The following is a 22,761-nucleotide window of genomic DNA, read 5'->3' on the forward strand; positions in this document are numbered from 1 at the left end:
TCGGTCTCCCAATGTGCTGGGATTACGGGCATGAGCCACCGCGCCCAGCCCCCATTTCATTCTTAAAGGTGAATCATCCTGGTGAAAAGTGATGGGATGACAGACTGAAATCCTTATCAGACACACTAAGAGTTATTTAGAGCTGTAGAGAAGTTTAAACCTTCCCTCTGGAGGTTGGGCAATTGAGCTTATTGAAGTAAATTGAAAATATGAAGATTAACAGGGAATAATATACAAATGTATTAATGTACACATATGTATGAAAACCCCACAAAATATGAGACTCAAAGAAGGGCCTGAGGGTTGGAGCTTAAATACCCTATTCACAGAGAAGAGGGAAATGGCAAATGGCAGGGTGGAGGGGGGAGGGTGAGAGGGGTAGCCAATTTTAGAGGAAGAGTAAATACTTTCTAAAGGAAATGAATGAGTCCAAGGAACAGAAAATAGCCTGGGACAAAGTTTCTCTGTGCTCTGGGGGAGGTGATGACAAGTTTTAAAAGGTGAGGGGTAGAACTGCACTGTGAACAAAGGTTGTCTTATTATGCAGGTAGTCTCTTAGGTTAAAAAAGAGTTATTTTAGAGCACCCTCCAGAGAAATAGGCAATAGCCTGTTTAGGTGTGGTAATGACTTTTAATTTCTCCTCTGATAAATAACATTTCCTGGTTGTTTGATGAGATTCCTAGAGAGGGGGTTCAATACAGTTGCATTTCTTTAGGAAGAACCCTCCTCAGTCAGATAAGGGAATTTCAGAGAGAGCCCTCCCTGAACTTTGAAAGGAAAAGTGGGGTAGACAGCAGGAGAAGGTAAGAGAGAGACTGGTTCCGAGGCCTTTCAATCCACTTTGTTCAAAGCACTCAACATGCCAAAGTGGCATATTTTGGAGTATCATTTTCTGAGCCCCCAAAAGAGCCCTAAAGTTATGGCTTCGTTTTTAAGAGAAATGAGTAGAAACCATAGATTGCCCTCACAAGAGCAAGCAAAGAGAAATTCTAAGAAAATGTTTTTTAAAATAAAAAAAACAAAACCTGATAATAATTAGACTGTAAACTATGGTAATGAAGTATGACAGCTGTACCTTGCCTATAAGTAGAATTTCAACAACAACAAAAATGTTGACCAGCTGTTCTCCCTTTCCATAAGAGACAAAGCAAAGAGGAGACTCTTAAACTCCCCTAACTGTGGACATAAGGAAACATCTTTCTACTGCAAACATTATTATTTCTCAAGGATGATGTTGAACCCCAGCTCAGAGGATTTTAGAAGTTTTGAAACCACAGATCTCAGATAGCTTCATTTAATTCTGATTTTTTCTGATTGTTACAAGTTGAAAACTTAAACTTTTTATTAATTATTTTAAATGAGCTTCCCCTGCAGTGTCCATGTGCTTTCTGAGTGCTTCACTGAGAATCAGGTTGTGTTACCTGTTCTTTCACAGGACCCCTCTTTGCTGGAAGAATTTTTCTACAGAATTATTCCTCAAACTTTTAAGAACTCTGAAGACTATAATAGTCTGAAAAATAAAGAATTATTTTGTACATCTTGTTTCTATATCTTTAGGGATCATTCACTTATAGTTTCTAACTTAAGCTTTCTTGTCTTCTCACCACACCAGCCTACCACTGCAGCTGGAAGACTTTAAGACAATACATTTTAAGTCGTCTCTATTTAGAGTGTTTCACATGAAAATAAAACAAGATTGCCAGACACTGTGTTCTAAAGTGGTCTTATGATGGCTTCCTCCAGCATCAGTTTTGAAAATTAAGGTTATTTGGGGAGAGAGATTCTCATCCACGGAAGATTCATAGATACATGTTCATGGCATTCTAACTTCAGAAAAGGAACAAAATAAAAATATTCATTTCATATATCCCAGCCTGTTGGCTCTCCTATCTGAGAGCACACTTCAGCAGCTGAACTATAAATCTTAACAGTCAAACCACACTTTGTTTCACTGCAAACTACAAGACAAACACTTGTTATTTTCATGCTCTTCTACTCTATTTTTAAATGACTAAGTTTCCTGAAGAGGGATAATAGAGGTGTATGATGGCTGAGAACTTACTTTTAAAAAGTGACGGGGCCTCCAGAATTTGGGGACGCTCTTCCTCTGGTTCTTTCCTAAAGTATTTCTCAGGGTCTAGAAGGAAAGCAGGTTTATTCACTTCAGGCAGCTCTTCCAGGGCTCCAATGTTTAATGACCTAAATGTACCTTCACAACAGCAGGTTTTAGAGGAAGACAGGGAGAAAAAGGGTACAATATCATTAACTCCTTGGAAAGAGCCAGCACATTTCCAAGTTAACTTTTATAAATTTAACCTTCCTGTTACTCAGCTGGTACAGCTGCAGTGATCTGCAAACCCTACAAACACAGCTGTTCAAAATAAATCCATAGTGCTTTTTATTCAAAGGAACCAAGAGGAACTCAAGGCTTCCCATTCATTTTTTTTTATTTTGTATTTTTCTGCTATTTTCCCTTGAAAATGAATATTCTGCAGTTTTGGAAAAGCTCCAGTTTTTCTTTTATCTACAAGAAAATTGTATCTTTTGTGAAATGGAATCTATTTTTTTCAGTGTTTAGTTTAACAACACATCTAAAATTTTGAATTGGCAGGTACTTTTTAAATAATGTCATCAAGTAAACCAGAGCTGCGTTATTGTATTTATTATGCACACAATGAGATGATAGGAATCTATTTTAATCATGCTCTTAAAGGCAAAGTCTTGAACAAAGTAAAAGATATTTCTCTTTGCTTCATGTAGTAATTGGATAATAGAATGGAAATCTATTTGGGATAAAATTTTATGTTTCTTTGTTAGTTCTGTGAAGGTAGGAACTGGGTTTTTGTCACGATGGTGACTCAGTACCTAAGAAAAGGAAACTAATCCGTATTCAGCACCTGCTATGGAACAAGTCAGGTTCTATGTCAGTGGATTTCAAACTACAACAGGCATCAGAATCATCTGGAGGGCTTACTAAAACATAGACTGCTATGTGACCCCCTTGGCTTCTGACTAATGGAGGAAAGCAGGGATGAGGGTCTCATAATTTACATTTCTAATAAGTTCTAGTTGATGCTTACGGTGCTAGGCCAGGGACCACTCTTTGAAAACTAATGTGCTATGTCAAATTAGAGAAGAAATCTTCACAACATGTAAGGTATCGTGCCATTAAGACAGATGAGGAAACTGAGGCTTAGGATGCGTTAGTAATTTGTGTCTCAGTTCATATAACTGTTAAATAGCAGATCATGGACTTAAGTTGAAATATGTTTAATCCCAAAGGTTATGCTCCAAGGTATAACAATAACAACATTACTAATAAGATTGTATTGGTTGCTATAATATGCCAGGCAGTAGTCAAAGTGCTTTACATATCTATCTCGTGTAATCCTAACAAAAACTCCGTGGAGTAGATTAGTTGATAAATGGGCATTGAATGTTAACAAATAATTATGCACCATTTTTACAGCAAAATTTCATCAGAAATTTAAAAATCAACATATCTGCTCTATGAAAGTGTGACATTCCCTTGGACATAAGTTGAAAAGATATTTGTAGTAAGTAACATATTTTCATTATAAAATAAAGCTTCAGGAAGGATTCTTATCTGTTTCTAAGCAATATACCTTAGTATAATAATGACTCCTTTGTTTTAGGTTACTGGTCTTTAATTGTTTTCTGGTCCGTCAACAACTAGACTAATGCATTGTTCTGTGTGGCTTCAGGATTTCTGACGAGCAAAAATAGTTTTTATTCATCTTCATTTCTTAAATACTTAAGGGAAAGAATAAAAATTCTGGTGCCATCTCTTTTTTTAGAACTGTATCAGGTACTTCACACATATTTTCTGACTAATATAGTAAGGATATTTGTCCCCTCTGAATCTCATGTGGAATTGTAATCCCCAGCATTGGAGATGGGGCCTGGTAGAAGATGACTGGATTATGGGCACATATTTTTCATGAATTGTTTGGTGCCATTCCCTTGGTGCTGTTTTTGCAATAGTGAGTGGGTTCTCACAAGATCTGATGGTTTAAACGTGTGTGGCACCACCCCCAGCTTGCTCCTACTCTCACCATGTGATGTTGCCTGCTTCCCCTTCACCTTCCACCACCACTGTAAGGTTTCTGAGGCCCTCACCAGAAGGTGGGCAAATGTTGGTGCCATACCTGAACAGCCTGCAGAACCGTGATCCAATTAAACCCCTTTTCTTTATAAATTACCCAATATCAGACATTTCTTTACGGCAATGCAAAAATGGCCTGACACAGAAAATTGGTAACAAGAGTGGGGCATTGCTATAAAGATACCTGAAAACGTGCAAGTGGCTTTGGAACTGGCTAATGGGCAGACGTTGGAAGAGTTTGGAGGACTCAGAAGACAGGAAGATGAGGGGAATTTTGGAAATTCTTAGAGACTGGTTAAATGGTAGTAGCCAAAGTCCTGATAGTGATGTGGACAGTGAAGTACAGGCTGACAAAGTCTCAGATGGAAATGAGGAACTTACTGGGAACTGGAGCAAAGGTCACCCATATTATGCCTTACCAAAGACCTTAGCTGCATTGTGTTCATGCTCTAGGCATCTGTGGAAGTTTGAACTTAACAGTGATAATTTAGGGTATCTAGCAGAAGAAATTTCTACACAGCAGAGCACTCAAGATGTTCCCTGGCTGCTTCTAATAGCCTAGCTTAGATATGGGAGCAAGAAATAAAGGTGGAAATTATATTTAAAGAAAAAGCAGAGTATAAATGTTTAGGAAATTTGCAGCCCAGTCATGTGGCAAACAAACAAATTTAAAAAAAGCATTATCAAGAGAGAAATTCAAGCAGGCTGTGGAGCAACCACTTGCTAAAGAGATCTGTATAACTAAAAGAGAGCCAAGAGCTAATATCCAAGACAACAGAAAAAAGGCCTTGAAGGCCTTCTAGACAGCCCCTCCCATCACAGGCCCACAGGCATAGAAGGAATACACCACTGTTCTCCATATCCGTGCAGCTCCAGCTCCAGCTGTGGCTCAAAGGGCCCCAGATACAACTCAGGCAGCCACTCCAGAGTGTGTAAGCCATAGCTTTGGTGGCTTCCACGTGGTGTTAAGCCTGCAGGTACACAGAGTGCAAGAGTGAAGGAGGCTTGACAATCTCACCTCGATTTCAGAGGATGCAAGAGAAATCCTGGGTGCCCAGCAAGAAACCTGCAGCAGGGCATAGCCCTCACAGAGAATATCTGCTACCACAGTGCTAGTGTTACTGGGGTGTCCTTGCTCCCAGAGCTCCCAAGATGGTGGCGGGCTGCTTCCAAAATGGCGGTGGGCCACTTCCAAGATGGTGGTAAGCCTCTTGTTGTCTGACCTGGGGTTCTTGGCCTCACGGATTCCAAGGAATGGGCCATGCGGTGAGTGTTATAGCTCTATTAGAAGCCGTGGGTCATGGAAGAGAACCATGGAACCCAGTGACTAGTGTTCAGCTCAATTAGGACGAACCAGGGCACTTAGCCGTGCAGGAACAATGGCAAGCCTTTAGCCCGATCGGGAGCAGCAATGAGTGCCTTGCTGGATCAGGAGCACAGCAGACACCCTGCCAGATCCAGAGGGATGGAAGTCAGCGGTGGGTCTGTGAAGGTGGCCAGCAGCAGTGGTGGAGGGCGACTGAAAGCTCAGCCCGAGCCATAACAAACATGGACCAGAAGAGTGCAGTTGCAAGATTTAATAGAGTGAAAGCAGAGCTCCCATACAAAGGGAGGGGACCCAAAGGTGGTTGCCGTTGCCGGCTCGAATGCCTGGGTTTATATCCCGATGCTTGTCCCTCCCGCTGTGCTCTCAGGCAATAGATGATTGGCTATTTCTTTACCTCCTGTTTTTGCCTAATTAGCATTTTAGTGAGCTCTCTGATTGGTCAGGTGTGAGCTAAGTTGCAAGCCCCATGTTTAAAGGTGGAAGCGGTCACCTTCCCAGCTAGGCTTAGGGATTGTTAGTCGGCCTAGGAAATCCAGCTAGTCCTGTCTCTCACTAGTAGAGGGGAAATGTGGGGTTGGAGGTCTCATGCAGAGTCCCCACTGGGGCACTGCCTAGTGGAGCTCTGTAAAGAGGGCCACTGTTCTCCATACTTGAGAATGGTAGATTCACTGGCAGCTTGCATCCTGTGCCTGAAGAAGCTACAGGCACTCAACTCTAACCCATGAGAACAACCACAAGGGCTGTACCCTGCAGAGACACAGGGGCAAATCTGTGCAAGACCTTGGCAGCCCACCCCTGGTGCCACTGTGCCCTGGATGTGCGCATGGAATCAAAGGAGATTATTTTGGAGCTTTAAGACGTAATGACTGCCTTGCTGAATTTCAGACTTGCCTGGAGCCTAGAGCCCCTTTCTTTTGGCCAGTTTCTCCTTTTAGAATGAAAATGTTTATCCAATGCCTATGCCCCCATTTTATCTTGAAAGTAAATGACTTTTTTATTTTACAGGCTTATAGGTGGAAGCAGCTTACCTTGTTTCAGATGAGAACTTTGAACTTTGTACTTTTAAGTTAATGCTGGAATGAGTTAAGACTTTGGAGGACTATTGGGAGGAATGGTTTTATTTTTCAATGGGAGAAGGACATGAGATTTGGAGGTGCCAGGGATGGAATGATATAGCCTGGATATTTGTCCCTACCCAAATCTCATGTTGAAATGTAATCCCCAGTGTTGGAGACGGGGCCTGGTGAGAGGTGTTCAGGTCATGAGGGTGGATCCCTCACGGCTTGGTGCTCTCCTCATGGTAGCAAGTCCACAGAGATCTGGCTGTTGAAAGTGTGTAGCACCTCCCCCACTCCCTCTTGCTCCTGCTGTCACCCTGTGATGTGCTTGCTATTGCTTCACCTTCCACCAAGCAGATACCAACATTATGGTTCCTGTACAGCCTGCAGAACTGTGAGCCAATTAAACCTTTTTCTTTTTAAATAAATTATACAGTTTCTGGCATTTTTTTATAGCAATGCAAGAGTGGTCCAATACACTGACTAAGACCTTACACTTTTTCCGCTAGTATTCTGTGGAGCCTTGGACAGGTGACTTAATGTCCTGTACCTCACTTTTCTCCTTTGTTAAATGGGGTTCACAGAACATTACATTCATGTTTATTAAGGAATAGGAACATTCCTGACACACAGAGTAGACATTTGTATTCACACTAATCTGTTAAATAATATTATAAAAATACATTAACAACAGTGACTACTTACTGAATGATTTTTTTATAACTTCACCATAATAAGGTTTTTGTGTTTCTTTCATGCAGGTACTTCTTTCCTTATATTTTATATCTAAATTTATATCTTCTGATGGTCTGACACTGGAAGAAAATATTTCATGATGAAATACATTATTAACCACAGGGATGGAGAAACTCTTTCTGGCTATGTGTATCTTTGACCAAAAAAAACAAAAACAAAAACAAAAAATCTATTCCTGTGAACCGAAGTAGTGATATTTGTTTATACTAATCAAGCCCTATCTTTTAACAAAATGCCTGCTAGCCAGGTGATAATAGAAAAGAGTGAGAGCCAGAGTGTCCAAGAGTCTAATTAAGCAAAGCCCTGTCCCCATAGCAACAAGGTTAGAGAAAAAATTATTTAGAAGAAAATTTTACAGAAACACGTACATTATCCTTGCCTTATTAATAAATTATATAATGAGAAGTAAGCATCAATCCTTTGTGTCAAAGCTTATTTATTCAGTGTTAGGCGTGTATCTTTATGGTTATGGCATCCAAAATGCAAAGAAGTTCAGTATTTCTGAGGCTTTCTCATATGAATCTATAAGAAAATTTTAGCGTAACTTGAATTCACAGAAAGGATTTTTATCAATAAAACATGGGAAATAAAATCATTACATAGCTGTATATAATCTTGTGAGAAAATAGAAAATGATCTCAAATCTATTTAAAATTCACTGTCATAGACTTCAACCTTAACAGCTACAAGTTATGTTTCCAAAAATTGTTATTAGTATCTTCAGAGCACCAAGCCAGAAAACACATCCATCGTCTCAAAATCGTGGAGAGTCCTGGGGATCTTGACTCACCCTCTTCCTTCTGCCTCCCTTCCCTGCATCCCTCAGCCCTTTATAGTTAACCATTCTTCCACTCCCTAACTTTTATTCTTATATCTTCTATGGATTTTGTAGCTATAAGACTCTGAGTTGTTTCCCATACTTTCAGCCTCAATTTTCCCCTCAATGTAATGGGACTCTTGCTGTGGATTTAAAGGAGATAAGATGGATGAAAGTTCAGAAATGTGCCTAATAAATAATAGCATTCAAGTAATGTTCATTTCCAGCTTTCTTTTTCCTCCACTCTATTTTTACCGTATCTTCCAATTTTAAAAGATTTTAAAATATCAATACAAGTAAAAAGTCTGTGTATCTCTCTTAAACTTAATATCAAATGCTATTTGCATGGCTTTAAGTAGTAATGTATTAATTTCTTTCTCATATATAAACTTTTCCTTTTAGAGGTTTTAGATTTGCAGAAAAGTTAGTAGAGCTCCAGTATATCCCTCAGCCAATTTTCCCTATTATAACATCTTACACTACCATTTGTCACAATAAAGAAATCAATATTGGTACAGTACTATTAACTGAATTCCATATTTTATTAGAGTTTTACTAGTTTTTTCTTAATGTGATTTTTCTGTAACGTCAACATTATATTTTGTTGTCTAACTCCTTAGCCTCTGGCCTGTGACGATTTTTCTTGTTTATTATGATCTTGATAGTTTTAAGAAATACTTGTTGGATTTTTTTGGTAGAATATCCCTCAGTTTGGGTTTGTCTGATATTCTTCTCATGGTGAGACTGGGGTTATGAGTTGTTGAGAGGAAAGCAACAGAGGTGAACTGCTGCTCTTATTGCATCAAACCAAGGGTGCATGCTATCAAACTGACTTCCATGGTTGATGTTAACCTCAATTACCTGGCCACAGTTGTATGTGCCAAGTTTTTAGTAATGTTTACAATAGCTACTGTACAGTTACTTTTTCCCTTTTTCCATATGTTACTCTTTGGAAGCAAGTTTTCAAGCACAATGCACATTTAAGAGGGGATGGGGGGGTAGTTAATCATGATTTCCTTGAATCAGGAGAGTATTAACATAAATTACTTGGAATTACAGATTTTTTTTTCTTTTAGGAGAGCTTTGTCATTGGATAGGTGGGCAGTTTTTCCCCAATTGCACTGGAATGACATCCCTCTCCATAAGCCATCTCATGTGAGTAAGAATTAGTATTTAGCCACTATTTAGGCTTTCAAGACAAGAAATAATGATATCCTTAGAGAGGTATTTTAAGATAGTAAGGGGATCTACAAAAATAAGAAGTTGGTGTTGGATACTGAAAGCATGGAGTGTGGTACAGTTAGGCCTTGCAGTTATTGGATTAAGAATACACCTTTTTCTAGAAAAGAATTATTCATGTAAACATGTGCAAAAGATTGAGGGGGCAGGGGCCACGGTAAAGAGGTTTCCCTTTAGAGTAGTTAACAATATATCTTGATTTTTTTTTCCAAAACACTCTAAACTCTTCCCTGTTTTCAGACCATATGCTTTCTGACTATCTCATCCTGTGGAATCTAAATCAAGTAGCTTTTATATAAAGCAAAACATTTTGCCCATTTCCACTAAAGAGTTTTATCCACAGAGGGAGAAAAGTAGTCAGACGGTAGGAGAGAATCTCTTGGAAATCACAACAAATTAAGTCAACAATCTATTGCTTCCTTTTCACAGACAGACATCTGACATTTGCAGGAGTGGTTACTCTGAAAATGCACAGGGAACTGGAAAAAGGCAAATATTCTCAAGAGGAGAAGTGATGGATGAAGACAAAGAAGCAGAATAATGTAATACCAGGCTTAAATAGAGTTTTAAAACATTTTGCAAAAATGCCTTAGTAGGTGATGCAGGAAGGCGATCTACTATGGGATCCACCAGCTTTGGCATCAATCCTATGAGGAGGAAAGGCTCTAACTAATCTCACTTCTCTTGGCTCTGGCTGTGGAAGGGAGGTATAATGACTGTGACAATTACTCAAGTACCCTCCTAGGCATCAAAAAGGAAGTGAAAAATGCTTAGAGTAGTGGCTTATACATAGCAGGTACTTGATAAAATATTTGATGGCTTGACTCAGAAACCAATAATTTGTCAATATTTTCACATGATGCTTGTTGGACAGGCAACACAGAACACTGATAAAGTACTAACTCTGGAGGCTGAATGCCTGCATTTGTATCCCTAGTTCACCTCTTGGTTGGTTGACCTTGTGCAAATCTGTTAACTTCTCCGCCTCTGTTTTTCAAGTTGTGAAATGGGGATGACAATAGTAGCTATCTTCTAGGATTACAGTGAGAATTAAATGAGGTAAACACATAAAGACCTTAGAACAGGCCCTGAAATATAATCAGGGCTCAGTTGGTATTGGCTACTATCACTTTAAGCAAAAGCAAGACAATATTTTTCACTCAAAGCAGGGAGTTCTAACACCCCCCTACAGCAAGCTCCAATATTCTTCAGAACTATCAGAATGATCAGACAAAAAATAAAAAGATGTGGCACTCCCCCAAATAACAATTTGCTGTTCTAGTATTTTTAAAGTTCAAATTTCAAAAATTGAATAGAGTATCATATGCTTTCATTTGTCATACATGGACATAGGATAGTTATTGCCAGATTGTTGGTGAAAGTAGACTGCCAATTCGTCAAGTATTTACATCACATAAAGCCTAATTTAAAATGGGATTTTAATATTTTGTGTATTTTTTCTTATAGCTATTTATCTATTTTCTAATTTAATTTCTCACATGAAATCTACTGACAGAATAATTAGGTAATCAATAGCATTTAAATAATATTAAATATCAGTTCCCTCCTAACAATAACATGGAATTTAAAACATCATAATTATTTTCCATGTTTAAGAAACATTAATTTGAGGTGTGCCCTCTGCCTTGTATAAACTTACTGGGAAACTAGTAGAATTTTTGTTTCATTTCTCATCTGAGTCTTTATACTTGTTTCTAATAATGAATCCCTTCCAGATAAGCAATTTTTTAAATGGTAACCAAAGGAAAATGTGTCAGATAATAAAAAATGGAGTAGTTTATGCTCTTTGTTGCTCTAGAATAAGAATGAAGATCAGTAAGTGAGAGTTCTACAGATGGATTTTACTTAACATTAGAGACATTAAGAATAGTTCAATAATAGAGAAGGGTATCTGTGAGATGTGAGTGTGTCATATAGGAACTATTCAAAAAGGCTGGGATGTGTTTCTCTTAAAGATGCCATAGGAGTTAGTCTAGTAGACTTTGAATACCCCTTTAAAATTTATTATTGAATTATCAAAGGTTAATAAACCTGAAAAATGTTTACTTTCACAAATAATCAAAAACTTTAGTTTAAAGCAATAAGATATCATAGCGACAGTTTTAAGACAGCAATAACAACCATTTTTGGTTCGAAGGCAGGAAAGCAACCATTTGTATTGCTGCTGGAGGGAGAGCTGATATGTCCAGACAGCAAGATGACCTTTAGCAAGATGACCCAAAGGCCTTTATGCCTTTTGACTCAGCAATTCCTCTCAAAGAATGTATTCTAATTATGAATTCAATAAGATATTCTAATATGTGCACATGAAGGTATTTAAAGAACTGTTTTCCCAGTTAAAATTTGTAAACAGTCTACATATTTGAAATAAAGAAAATGGTTAAAAAGCTACAAGTCATTATAAATGTTGTTGTCCATGGATACTCATATTAACTAATATGAAAATGTGCCTACTGCATATTTTTGAGCGATAAAACAGGTTATAAACTGTGTCTACTAAGTCACAGTTATTTTTATAAAATGTACATTTTTTCATTGTTGTAAGTATGCCTAAAGCAAGGTCTTAAAAGTGAAATGCCTAATGTTAACAATGGCTTTACCACAGATATTTTCACCTTTTGCTTATTTGTACTTCCAAATTTTCCCGTAATAAAAATGTAGTATTTTTGGCCAGGCACAGCGGCTCATGCCTATAATCCCAGCACTTTGGGAGGCCGAGGCGGGCAGATCACGAGGTCAGGAGTTCAAGACCAGCCTGGCCAACATGATGAAACCCCGTCTCTACTAAAAATACAAAAATGAGCTGGGCATGGTGGCATATGCCTGTAATCCCTGTATTAATTTTATAATAAGGAAATATTCTGAAACTGTATTTTCTGAATTATTCATTTTATCTATAATTTTCCTAGGTTAGATAATTTTACATGAGTCCAAAAAACAAATATTCCTATAAACTAGGAAAAATATATGTCCACTGTAGTTTTTTTTACTATTTTATCCCTTCACTTATTTATTTTTTTAGAAGTTTTTTAAAGCTAGTATGAGTTTTGCAGACTCTAGGAAAAGGATAAATCTATTTCTCCATATCAATTGTTAACTTAGAATTAGGCCTTTCTATTAATCTCTTAAATTCTATATTCATCTCCCCAGGACTTAACTTGAAGATAACTCTTTACCATCTACCTACTTCTCACAAATAGTATTATAAAATACTTTCAGCCCTGTGAAAAGCCAGGTATGTTTGTATAAGCCAGAAGATAATATACACCCCAATTTTTTAACCTGGAAAGAGACTCTTAGGTGTTAAAATGAGAAAATAGCTTTAAGACACTTAATTTTTTCTTCATGTTTCTTGTTTCTTCTATTTTCTTTAGACTTTTTCTATTTTCCTTCATCTTTCTTCCTGTGCACCAACCCCCATCTAAACATACCCCCACCTGCATATATACACCAAGTGTACTTTTTCTCCTGTAGTCTAAATTCTTTCACATTTTTATTTTTCTTTCATATTTTTTCATATGGATGAGAGCTAGCATGATTCTTTCCTTGAATTTACCAATCTGACTAGGTAAAGGGGCACATTCTTCGGAAGAATATTTCTTAAAAATAAAATGATTTATAATATTTTCCGTACTAGATGGAAAGCACAAAGGACATTCTACAGCTGACAATTTTATTGTGTTTGTATAATTTCTGCAAAGGATTCCTGATCATATTCCTGGGAGAACTGAAGGATGTACATGATAATCAATTCTGAGGATATGTTTTTAACCCTTTTTTTATTAGTTTAATTCCTAAATGACATTTTTCTATACTATCTCATTATTACAAAGTCTTAAAATTATATCAATCCAGTCTCATCTGAATTAGATTAAGACAGAAATTTTAAAGATCACAAGTACTTTTTGATGCGTTATTTTTTCATTTTACAAAATGCTGTACAGTAGAAATAACTTTGCCTCTCACCCCCAGAAGTCTACCGACGCCTATATAATCTTATAATCAACATGAGAAGATCAGTTTGCTGTACTCCTATTTAATCTGGTAGACAACAAAGCTCCAGTTTTAAGAGAAGTCTGTGAACTATAAAACCTATATATTGGTGAGTGACTGAGCTACCTCCCAGGGAAACCATGTTTTTTTCCACCGATCTGTGAAACCCATGGATCAGATCACCACCAGGGCCTTGGGTTCCAAGCACAGAACTGTGCAGATTCTTGGTGAACGCTTGGGTTGCAGCCAGTGGCAGCATGCTGGAGACTGCCTAAGACAACCAAGTACCCAGAGGGAGGGGCAGTCACCATCACTGTGGCTCCAATCAGCCGTTTTCCCCTGCCGGTGTTGGGGAGACTGGGCAGTTTGGCCTGGGAGGAATTCCCCACAATGCAGCACAGTGGCTGTGGCAGATCGTGGCCAACTGCTTCTTTAGGTGGGACCCGGATCCATCCCTCCTCTTTGGGTGGGGCCTCCCTGTGGTAACTTCAGTGACTCCAGCCAGGGGTTTATAGGCAGAACTCTGATCTCTCTGGAATGGAGCCCCTGGGGGAAACAGTGGCCATGGTCTCTGGTTCAGTAGACTTAGCCTTTCCTTCTGCTGGCTCTGAGGAATCAAGGCAGTCCAGACGAGTGGAATTCCCGCCAGGGCAGCACACCCATTCCACCAAGGGACAGATAGAGTGCTTCGTTAAGAGGGTCCCTGATTCTGTGCCTCCTGAGTAGGTGAGACCTCCAAACAGGGGTCACCAGAAACCTCATACAGGAGAGCTCCCACTGGCATCAGGTCAGTGCACCTCCAGGATGGATCTCCCAGGGGAAGGAGCAGGCAGCCATCTTTGCTCTTCTGCAGCCTCCACTGGTGATACCTCCAGGTGCATGAGGGACCCAGGTAAATAGAGCCTAGAGTGGACCCCCAGCAAACTGCAGAAGAGGAGCTCTACAGAAGAGGGGCCTTACTGTTAAAAGAAAAACAAACAGAAAGCAACAACATCAACAAAAAATACCCCACAAAATCTCATCCAAAGGTCAGGAGCCTCAAAGATTGAAGGTAGATAAACCCACAAAGATGAGAAAAAAATCCACACAAAAACACTGAAAATTCAAAAAGCTGGGGTGCCTCTTCTATTCCAAATGATTGTAACACCTCTCCAGAAACGGCACAGAACTGGGCTGAGGCAGAGATGGATGAATTGACAGAAGTAGGCTTCAGAAGGTGGGTAATAAACTTCACTGAGGTAAAAGAGTATGTTCTAACACAATGCAAAGAAGCTAAGAACCACGATAAAACATTACAGGAGCTGTTAGCCAGAATAACTAGTTTAGAAAGTAACAAAGATGACCTGAAAGAGCTGAAAAACACAAGAGAACTTCACAATGCAATCACAAGTGTCAATAGCTGAATAGTCCACACGGAGGACAGAATCTCAGAGCTTGATGACTATCTTGCTGAAATAAGACAGGCAGACAAGATAAGAGAAAGAAGAATGAAAAAGAACAAATGAAGCCTCTGAGAACTATGAGATTATATAACCAAACCTATGACTGATTGGGGTACCTGCAAGAGACGGAGAGAATGGAAACAAGTTGGAAAACATACTTCAGGATATCATCCAGGAGAACTTTCTCAACCTAGCAAGACAGGCCAACATTCAAATTCAAGAAATCCAGAGAACCCCAGTAAGATACTACATGAAAAGATCAACCCCAAGACACATAATCCTCAGACTTTCCAAGGTTAACATGAAGGAAAAAAATTAAAGGGCAGCCAGAGAGAAAGGCCAAGTCAATTACAAAGGGAAGCCCATCAGACTGACAGCGGACCTCTCAGCAGAAACTCTACAAACCAGAAGAGATTGGGGGGAGGGGGCCAATATTCAACATTCTTAAAGAAAAGAATTTCCAATCCAGAATTCCATATCAAACCAAACTAAGCTTAATAAGCAAAGGAGAAACAAGATTGTTTTCAGACAAGAAAATGCTGCGGGAATTCATCACCACTAGGCCTGCCTTGCAAGAGCTCCTGAAGGAAGCACTGAATATGAAAAGGAAAAACCGTTATCAGTCAATACAAAAACACCCTGAAGTACACAGACCAATGACACCATGAAGAAACTACATTAACAAGTCTGCAAAATAACCAGCCAGCATCATGGAGACAAAATCAAATTCACACATAACAATATCAACCTTAAATATAAATGGGCTAAATACCCCAATTAAAAGACACAGAATGGCAAATGGCATAAAGAGTAAAGACCCATTGGTGTGCTGTCTTCAAAAGATGTGTCTCACATGCCAGACACACATAGGCTCAAAATAAAGGAATGGAGGAAATTTTACCAAGCAAATGGAAAGCAGAAAAAATGCAGGGGTTGCAATCCTAGTTTCTGACAAAACAGACTTTAAACTAACAAAGATCAAAAAAGACAAAAAAAGGCATTACATAATGGTAAAGTGTTCAATTCAACAAGAAGAGCTAACTATGCTAAATATATATGCACCCAATACAGGAGAACCCAGAATCATAAAACAAGTTCTTAGAGACCTGCAAAGAGACTTAGACTCCCACACAATCATAGTGGGAAACTTTAACACCCAACTGTCAATATTAGACAGATATCGAGACAGAAAGTGTAAAAGATATTCAGGGCTTGAACTCAGCTCTAGATCAAGTGGACCTGATAGAGATTTACAGAAATCTCCACCCAAAAACAACAGAATATACTTTCTTCTTGGTGCCACATGGCACTTCCTCTAAAATTGATCACATAATTGGAAGTAAAACACTCCTCAGCAAATGCAAAAGAACTGAAATCATAACAGTCTCTCAGACCACAGCGCAATTTAATTAGAACTCAATATTAAGAAACTCACTAAACACCACACAACTACATAGAAGTTGAACATCCTGCTCTTGAATGACTCCTGGGTAAGTAATGAAATTAAGACAGAAATTAAGAAGTTCCTTGAAACTAATGAGAAGAAAGAGGCCATGTACCAAAATCCCTGGGACACAGCTAATGCAGTGTTAACAGAAAAATTTACAGCACTAAATGCCCACATCAAAAAGCTAGAAAGATCTCAAATCAACATCCTAACATCACAACTAATGAACTAGAGAACCAAGAGCAAACAGACCCCTAAGCTAGCAGAAGACAAGAAATAACCAAGGTCAGAGCAGAACTGAAGGAGATGCAGACACACACACACACACACACACACACACACACACACACACACCCTTCAAAATATCAACAAATCCCTAAACTGGCTTTTTGAAAAAAATTAAGAAAATAGATAGATTGCTAGCTGAATTAATAAAGAAGAAAAGACAGAAGAATCAAATAGACACAATAAAAAAAGATAAAAGGGATATCACCACTGGCCCCACAGAAATACAACCATCAAAGAATACTATAAACACCTCTGTGCAAATAAACTAAGAAATCTAGAAGAAATGGATAAATTCCTGGACACAAACACCCTCTCAAGACTGAACCAGGAAGAAGTTGAATCCCTGAAGAGGCCAGTAATGAGTTTTGAAATTGAGGTAGTAATAAATAGCCTACAAACCAAAAAAGCCAAGGACCAGAGTGATTCACAGCTGAATTCTACCAGAGATACAAAAAGGAGCTGGTACCATTTCTTCTGAAACTATTCCAAAAAATTGAAAAGGAGTGACTCTTCCCTCACTCATTTTATGAGCTCAGTATCATCCTGATACCAAAACCTGGTCAAGACAAAACAAAACAACGAAAAAAGAACTTCAGCCAATATCCCTGATGAACATTGATGCAAAAATCCTCAATAAAATACTTGCAAACCAAATTCTGCAGCACATCAAAAAGCGTATCCACCACAATCAAGTTGGCTTCATCCCCAGGATTCAAGGCTGACTCAACGTAGGTAAATCAATAAACGTAATTCATCACATAAACAAAACTAAGAACAAAAACCACATGATTACCTCAATAGGTACAGAAAATGCCTGCTATACAATTCAACATTTCTTCATGTTAAAAACTCTGAATAAAATATATATTGAAGGAACATATCTCAAAATAATAAGAGTCACTTATGCCAAACTCATAGCCAATATCATACTGAATGGGCAAAAGCTGGAGGCATTCCCCTTGAAAACCGGCACAAGACAAAGATGCCCTTTCTCACCACTCCTATTCAGGGTAGTATTGGAAGTTCTGGCCAGGGCAATCAGGCAAGAGAAAGAAATAAAGCGTATTCAAATAGGAAGAAAGGAAGTCAAACTCTCTCTGTTTGCAGGTGACATGATACTATATCTAGAAAACCATATTGACTCAGCCCAAAAGCTTCTTAAGCTGATAACTTCAGCAAAGACTCAGGATACAAAAACAATGTGCAAAAATCACAAGCACTCCTATACACAAATAACAGCTAAGCAGAGGGCCAAATCATAGATGAATTCCCATTAACAATCGCTACAGAGAATAAAATATCTAGGAATACAGCTATCAAGGAAAGTGAAGAACCCTCTTCAAGGAGAACTACAAACCATTGCTCAAGGAAATCAGAGAGGACACAAACAAGTGGAAAAACATTTCATGATCATGAACAGAAAGAATCAATATCATGAAAATCGCCATACTGCCCAAAGTAATTTATAGATTCAATGCTATTCCCATCAAACTACTCTTGAAATTTTTTTTATTATACTTTAAGTTTTAGGGTACATGTGCACAACGTGCAGGTTAGTTACGTATACAAGTGCCATGTTGTTGTGCTGCACCCAGTAACTCATCATTTAACATTAGGTATATCTCCAAATGCTATCCCTCCACCCTCCCCCCACCCCACAACAGGCCCCAGTGTGTGATGTTCCCCTTCCTGTGTCCATGTGTTCTCATTGTTCAATTCCCACCTATGAGTGAGAACATGTGGTGTTTGGTTTTTTGTCCTTGCAATAGTTTGCTGAGAATGATGGTTTCCAGCTTCATCCATGTCCCTACAAAGGACATGAACGCATCATTTTTTATGGCTGCATAGTATTCCATGGTGTATATATGCCACATTTTCTTAATCAAGTCTATCATTGTTGGACATTTGGGTTGGTTCCAAGTCGTCGTTATTGTGAATAGTGCCACAATAAACATATGTGTGCATGTGTCTTTATAGCAGCATGATATATGATCCTTTGGGTATATACCCAGTAATGGGATGGCTGGGTCAAATGGTATTTCTAGTTCTAGATCCCTGAGGAATCGCCACACTGACTTCCACAATGGTTGAACGAGCCAAAATTGACAAATGGGATCTAATTAAACTAACGACCTTCTGCACAGCAAAAGAAACTACCATCAGAGTGAACAGGCAACCTACAGAATGGGAGAAAATTTTTGCAATCTACTAATCTGACAAAGGGCTAATATCCAGAATCTACAATGAACTCAAACAAATTTACAAGAAAAAAACAAACAACCCCATCAAAAAGTGGGCAAAGGATATGAACAGACACTTCTCAAAAGAAGACATTTATGCAGCCAAAAGACACATGAAAAAATGCTCATCATCACTGGCCATCAGAGAAATGCAAATCAAAACCATAATGAGATACCATCTCACACTAGTTAGAATGGTGAGCATTAAAAAGTCAGGAAACAACAGGTGCTGGAGAGGATGTGGGTAAATAGGAACACTTTTACACTGTTGGTGGGACTGTAAACTAGTACTCTTGACATTCTTGACAGAATTAGAAAAAAACTATTTTAAAATTCATATGGAACCAAAAAAGAGCCTGTATAGCCAAAACAATGCTAACCAAAAAGAACAAAGCTGGAGGCATCAGGCTACCCAACTTCAAACTGTACTACACGGCTACAGTAACCAAAACAGCATAGTACTGGTACAAAAACAGACACAGAGACCCATGGAACAGAATAGAGAACTAAGAAATAAGACCACACATCTACAACCATCTAATCTTCAACAAACCTGATGAAAACAAGCAATGAAGAAAGGATTCCCTATTTAATAAATGGTGCTAGGAGAACTGGCTAGCCATATGCAGGAAATTGAAACCGGTCTCCTTCCTTACATCTTATACAAAAATTAACTCAAAATGGATTAAAGACTTAATTGTAAAACCCAAAGCTATAAAAACCCTAGAAGAAAATCTAGGCAATGTGATTCAGGATATAGGTACAGGCAAAGATTTCAAGATGAAAACATCAAAAGTAATTGCAATGAAACTAAAAATTGACCAATGAGATATTTTTTTTTTCCGTTTTTAACCTTTACTTTTTTTTTCTTTTCTTTTCTTTTCTTTTCTTTTTTTATTATTATTATACTTTAAGTTTTAGGGTACATGTGCACAATGTGCAGGTTAGTTACATATGTATACATGTGCCATGCTGGTGTGCTGCATCCATTAACTCGTCATCTAGCATTAGTTATATCTCCTAATGCTATCCCTCCACCCTCCCCCAACCCCACAACAGTCCCCAGAGTGTGATGTTCCCCTTCCTGTGTCCATGTGTTCTCATTCTTCAATTCCCACCTATGAGTGAGAACATGCAGTGTTTGGTTTTTGTCCTTGCAATAGTTTGCTGAGAATGATGATTTCCAGTTTCATCCATGTCCCTGAAAAGGACATGAACTCATCATTTTTTATGGCTGCATAGTATTCCATGGTGTATATGTGCCACATTTTCTTAATCCAGTCTATCATTGTTGGACATTTGGGTTGGTTCCAAGTCTTTGCTATTGTGAATAATGCCGCAATAAACATACGTGTGCATGTGTCTTTATAGCAGCATGATTTACAGTCCTTTGGGTATATACCCAGTAATGGGATGGCTGGGTCAAATGGTATTTCTAGTTCTAGATCCCTGAGGAATCGCCACACTGACTTCCACAATGGTTGAACTAGTTTACAGTCCCACCAACAGTGTAAAAGTGTTCCTATTTCTCCACATCCTCTCCGGCTCCTGTTGTTTCCTGACTTTTTAATGATTGCCATTCTAACTGGTGTGAGATCATATCTCACTGTGGTTTTGATTTGCATTTCTCTGATGGCCAGTGATGATGAGCATTTTTTCATGTGTCTTTTGGCTGCATAAATGTCTTCTTTTGAGAAGTGTCTGTTCATATCCTTTGCCCACTTTTTGATGGGGTTGTTTGTTTTTTTCTTGTAAATTTGTTTGAGTTCATTGTAGATTCTGGATATTAGCCCTTTGTCAGATGAGTAGGTTGCAAAAATTTTCTCCCATATTGTAGGTTGCCTGTTCACTCTGATGGTAGTTTCTTTTGCTGTGCAGAAGCTCTTTAGTTTAATTAGATCCCATTTGTCAACTTTGGCTTTTGTTGCCAAATGAGATATTAAACTAAAAAGCTTCTGCACAGCAAAAGAAACTGTCATCAGAGTGAACAGACAACTTACAGAATGGGTGAAAATTTTTGCAACTTATCCATCAGACAAAGAGCTAGTATTCAGAGTCCACAGGGAACTTAAACAAATTTACAAGAAAAAAAAAAACAACCCCATTAAAAAGTGGGCAAAGACATAAACTGACACTTCTCAAAAGAAGACATTTATGCAACCAACAAACAAATGAAAAAAGGCTCAACATCACTGATCATTAGAGAAATGCAAATCAAAACCACAGTGAGATACCATCTCATGCCAGTCACAATAGCAATTATTAAAAAGTCAAGAAACAACAGATGCTGGTGAGGCTGCAGAGAGATACGAATGCTTTTGCACTGTTGATGGGAATGTAAATTAGTTCACTCATGGTCTAAGATGGTGTGGTGATTCCTCAAAGACCTAGAACCAGAAATAGTATTTAAACTACCATTTGACCCAGCAATCTCATTACTGGGTATATACCCAAAGGAATATAAATCATTCTGTTATAAAGATACAAGCACACATACGTTCATTACAGCACTATTCACAATAGCCAATAAATGGAATCAACCCAAATGCCCATCAATGATAGACTGGATAAAGAAAATGTTACATATACACCATGGAATACTATACAGCCACAAAAGGAATGAGATAATGTCCTCTGCAGGGACATGGATGGAGCTGGAAGCCATTATCCTCAGCAAACTAACTCAGGAACAGAAAACAAAACATCACATGTTCTCACTCAAAAGTGGGAGCTGAACAATGAGAACACATGGACACAAGGAGGGGAACAACACACACTGGAACCTGTCCAGGGGTGGGGGATGGGGGAGGGGGAGCATCATGAAAAATTGCTACTGCATGCTGGGTTTAATACTTAGGTTATAGGTCAATAGGTGCAGCAAACCTCCATGGCATACATTTACCTATGTAACAAAGCTGTACATCCTACACATGTACCCCAGAAATTAAAATAAATTTTAAAAAACCCTATATATCAGCACTGATTTTCATAATACAAAGTTTCCAGGAACAATAGAAAATAAAATTAACTGAAAATGAAGTCAGGAAAGAAGAGTTCAAACAGCCAATGTTTGAATCTAGGAAAAGATTGGTTTAAAAAAGTGTTTAGGATGGGAGTGATGGCTCACGTCTGTAATCCCAGCACTTTGGGAGGGTGAAGTGGAAGGATCACTTCAACCTAGGAGTTCCAGACCTGCCTGAGCAACATGACAAAACCTCATCTATAAAGAAAAAAATGTGTGTGTGTGTGTGTGTGCAAACTGGGTGTGGTGGCATGCCTGTAGTCCGAGCTACTTGGGAGGCTGAGGTGGGAGGATTGATTGAGCCAGGGAAGTTGATGCTGCAGTGAGCTGTGGTCGCACCACTGCATTTCAGCTGGACAACAAAGCAAGACAGCCTCAAAAAAAAAAAAATGTTTAAAGGATAACTGAGTTTGTCATAAGGAATGGGAAATTAGTATCTTGGCTGAAATACTCTTAAACAGGAATCTGTAATACTTGCCTTCACTCTGCTATGCATGTGATGGAAAGAAAAAAAATGATCTGTCTGTGTTACCCTAAGGTAACTTTATTTCTTCATCTGTAAGATTGAGTAGGGTAGGTGGGTGGGGACATTTTATCCTATGTAAAGTCTTTCCATTCCCAGCATTCTATGATTGTACAGGATTGCTCATGCTAGATTTCTAAACTGAAAATATCCTTCTGCCTAAATGTAAAATGCCACTTGACATTTCTGCAAGCCATAATTCAAGGAAATGGAAGAACAAATACCAAAGTAATTTAGCATAACAGAATGCTAAAGGGGAATTTTTTTCTTCTATCTATGTGTCAGCGGAGGTTCAAAAAGTTTGAAAGCAAAGTAATTTATTGAGATGTTTAATACAAAAGTATTTCTACATGCCAAAATGAGGTGGTTAGACTCTGTGTGAAGAGTCATTTTGCCAAGAAGGTAGCTCCAAAACTGATCTTGTGACACTTAAGCCAACCATCACTTTAAGATATAAACAA

General features: G+C 38.5%; 1 protein-coding gene across 4 annotated transcripts in view; it reads right to left on the reverse strand.

Annotated features, from left to right (window-relative positions):
- The window catches only part of WDR49 (WD repeat domain 49), a 179,240-nt gene that overhangs the window by 19,406 nt on the left and 137,073 nt on the right, over window positions 1-22,761 (reverse strand). For all 4 annotated transcript variants that reach the window (NM_001348951.2, NM_001366158.1, NM_001348952.2 and 1 more), the window contains 2 exons: window positions 7,218-7,327; window positions 2,064-2,210 (listed from right to left, as the gene is read on the reverse strand). In NM_001348951.2, coding sequence (NP_001335880.1) covers window positions 2,064-2,210; window positions 7,218-7,327 — 257 coding nt within the window. The remainder of the gene's footprint in view (window positions 1-2,063; window positions 2,211-7,217; window positions 7,328-22,761) is intronic.

Source organism: Homo sapiens, chromosome 3, assembly GCF_000001405.40.
Source record: "Homo sapiens chromosome 3, GRCh38.p14 Primary Assembly".
Taxonomy (NCBI): Eukaryota; Metazoa; Chordata; class Mammalia; order Primates; family Hominidae; genus Homo; species Homo sapiens.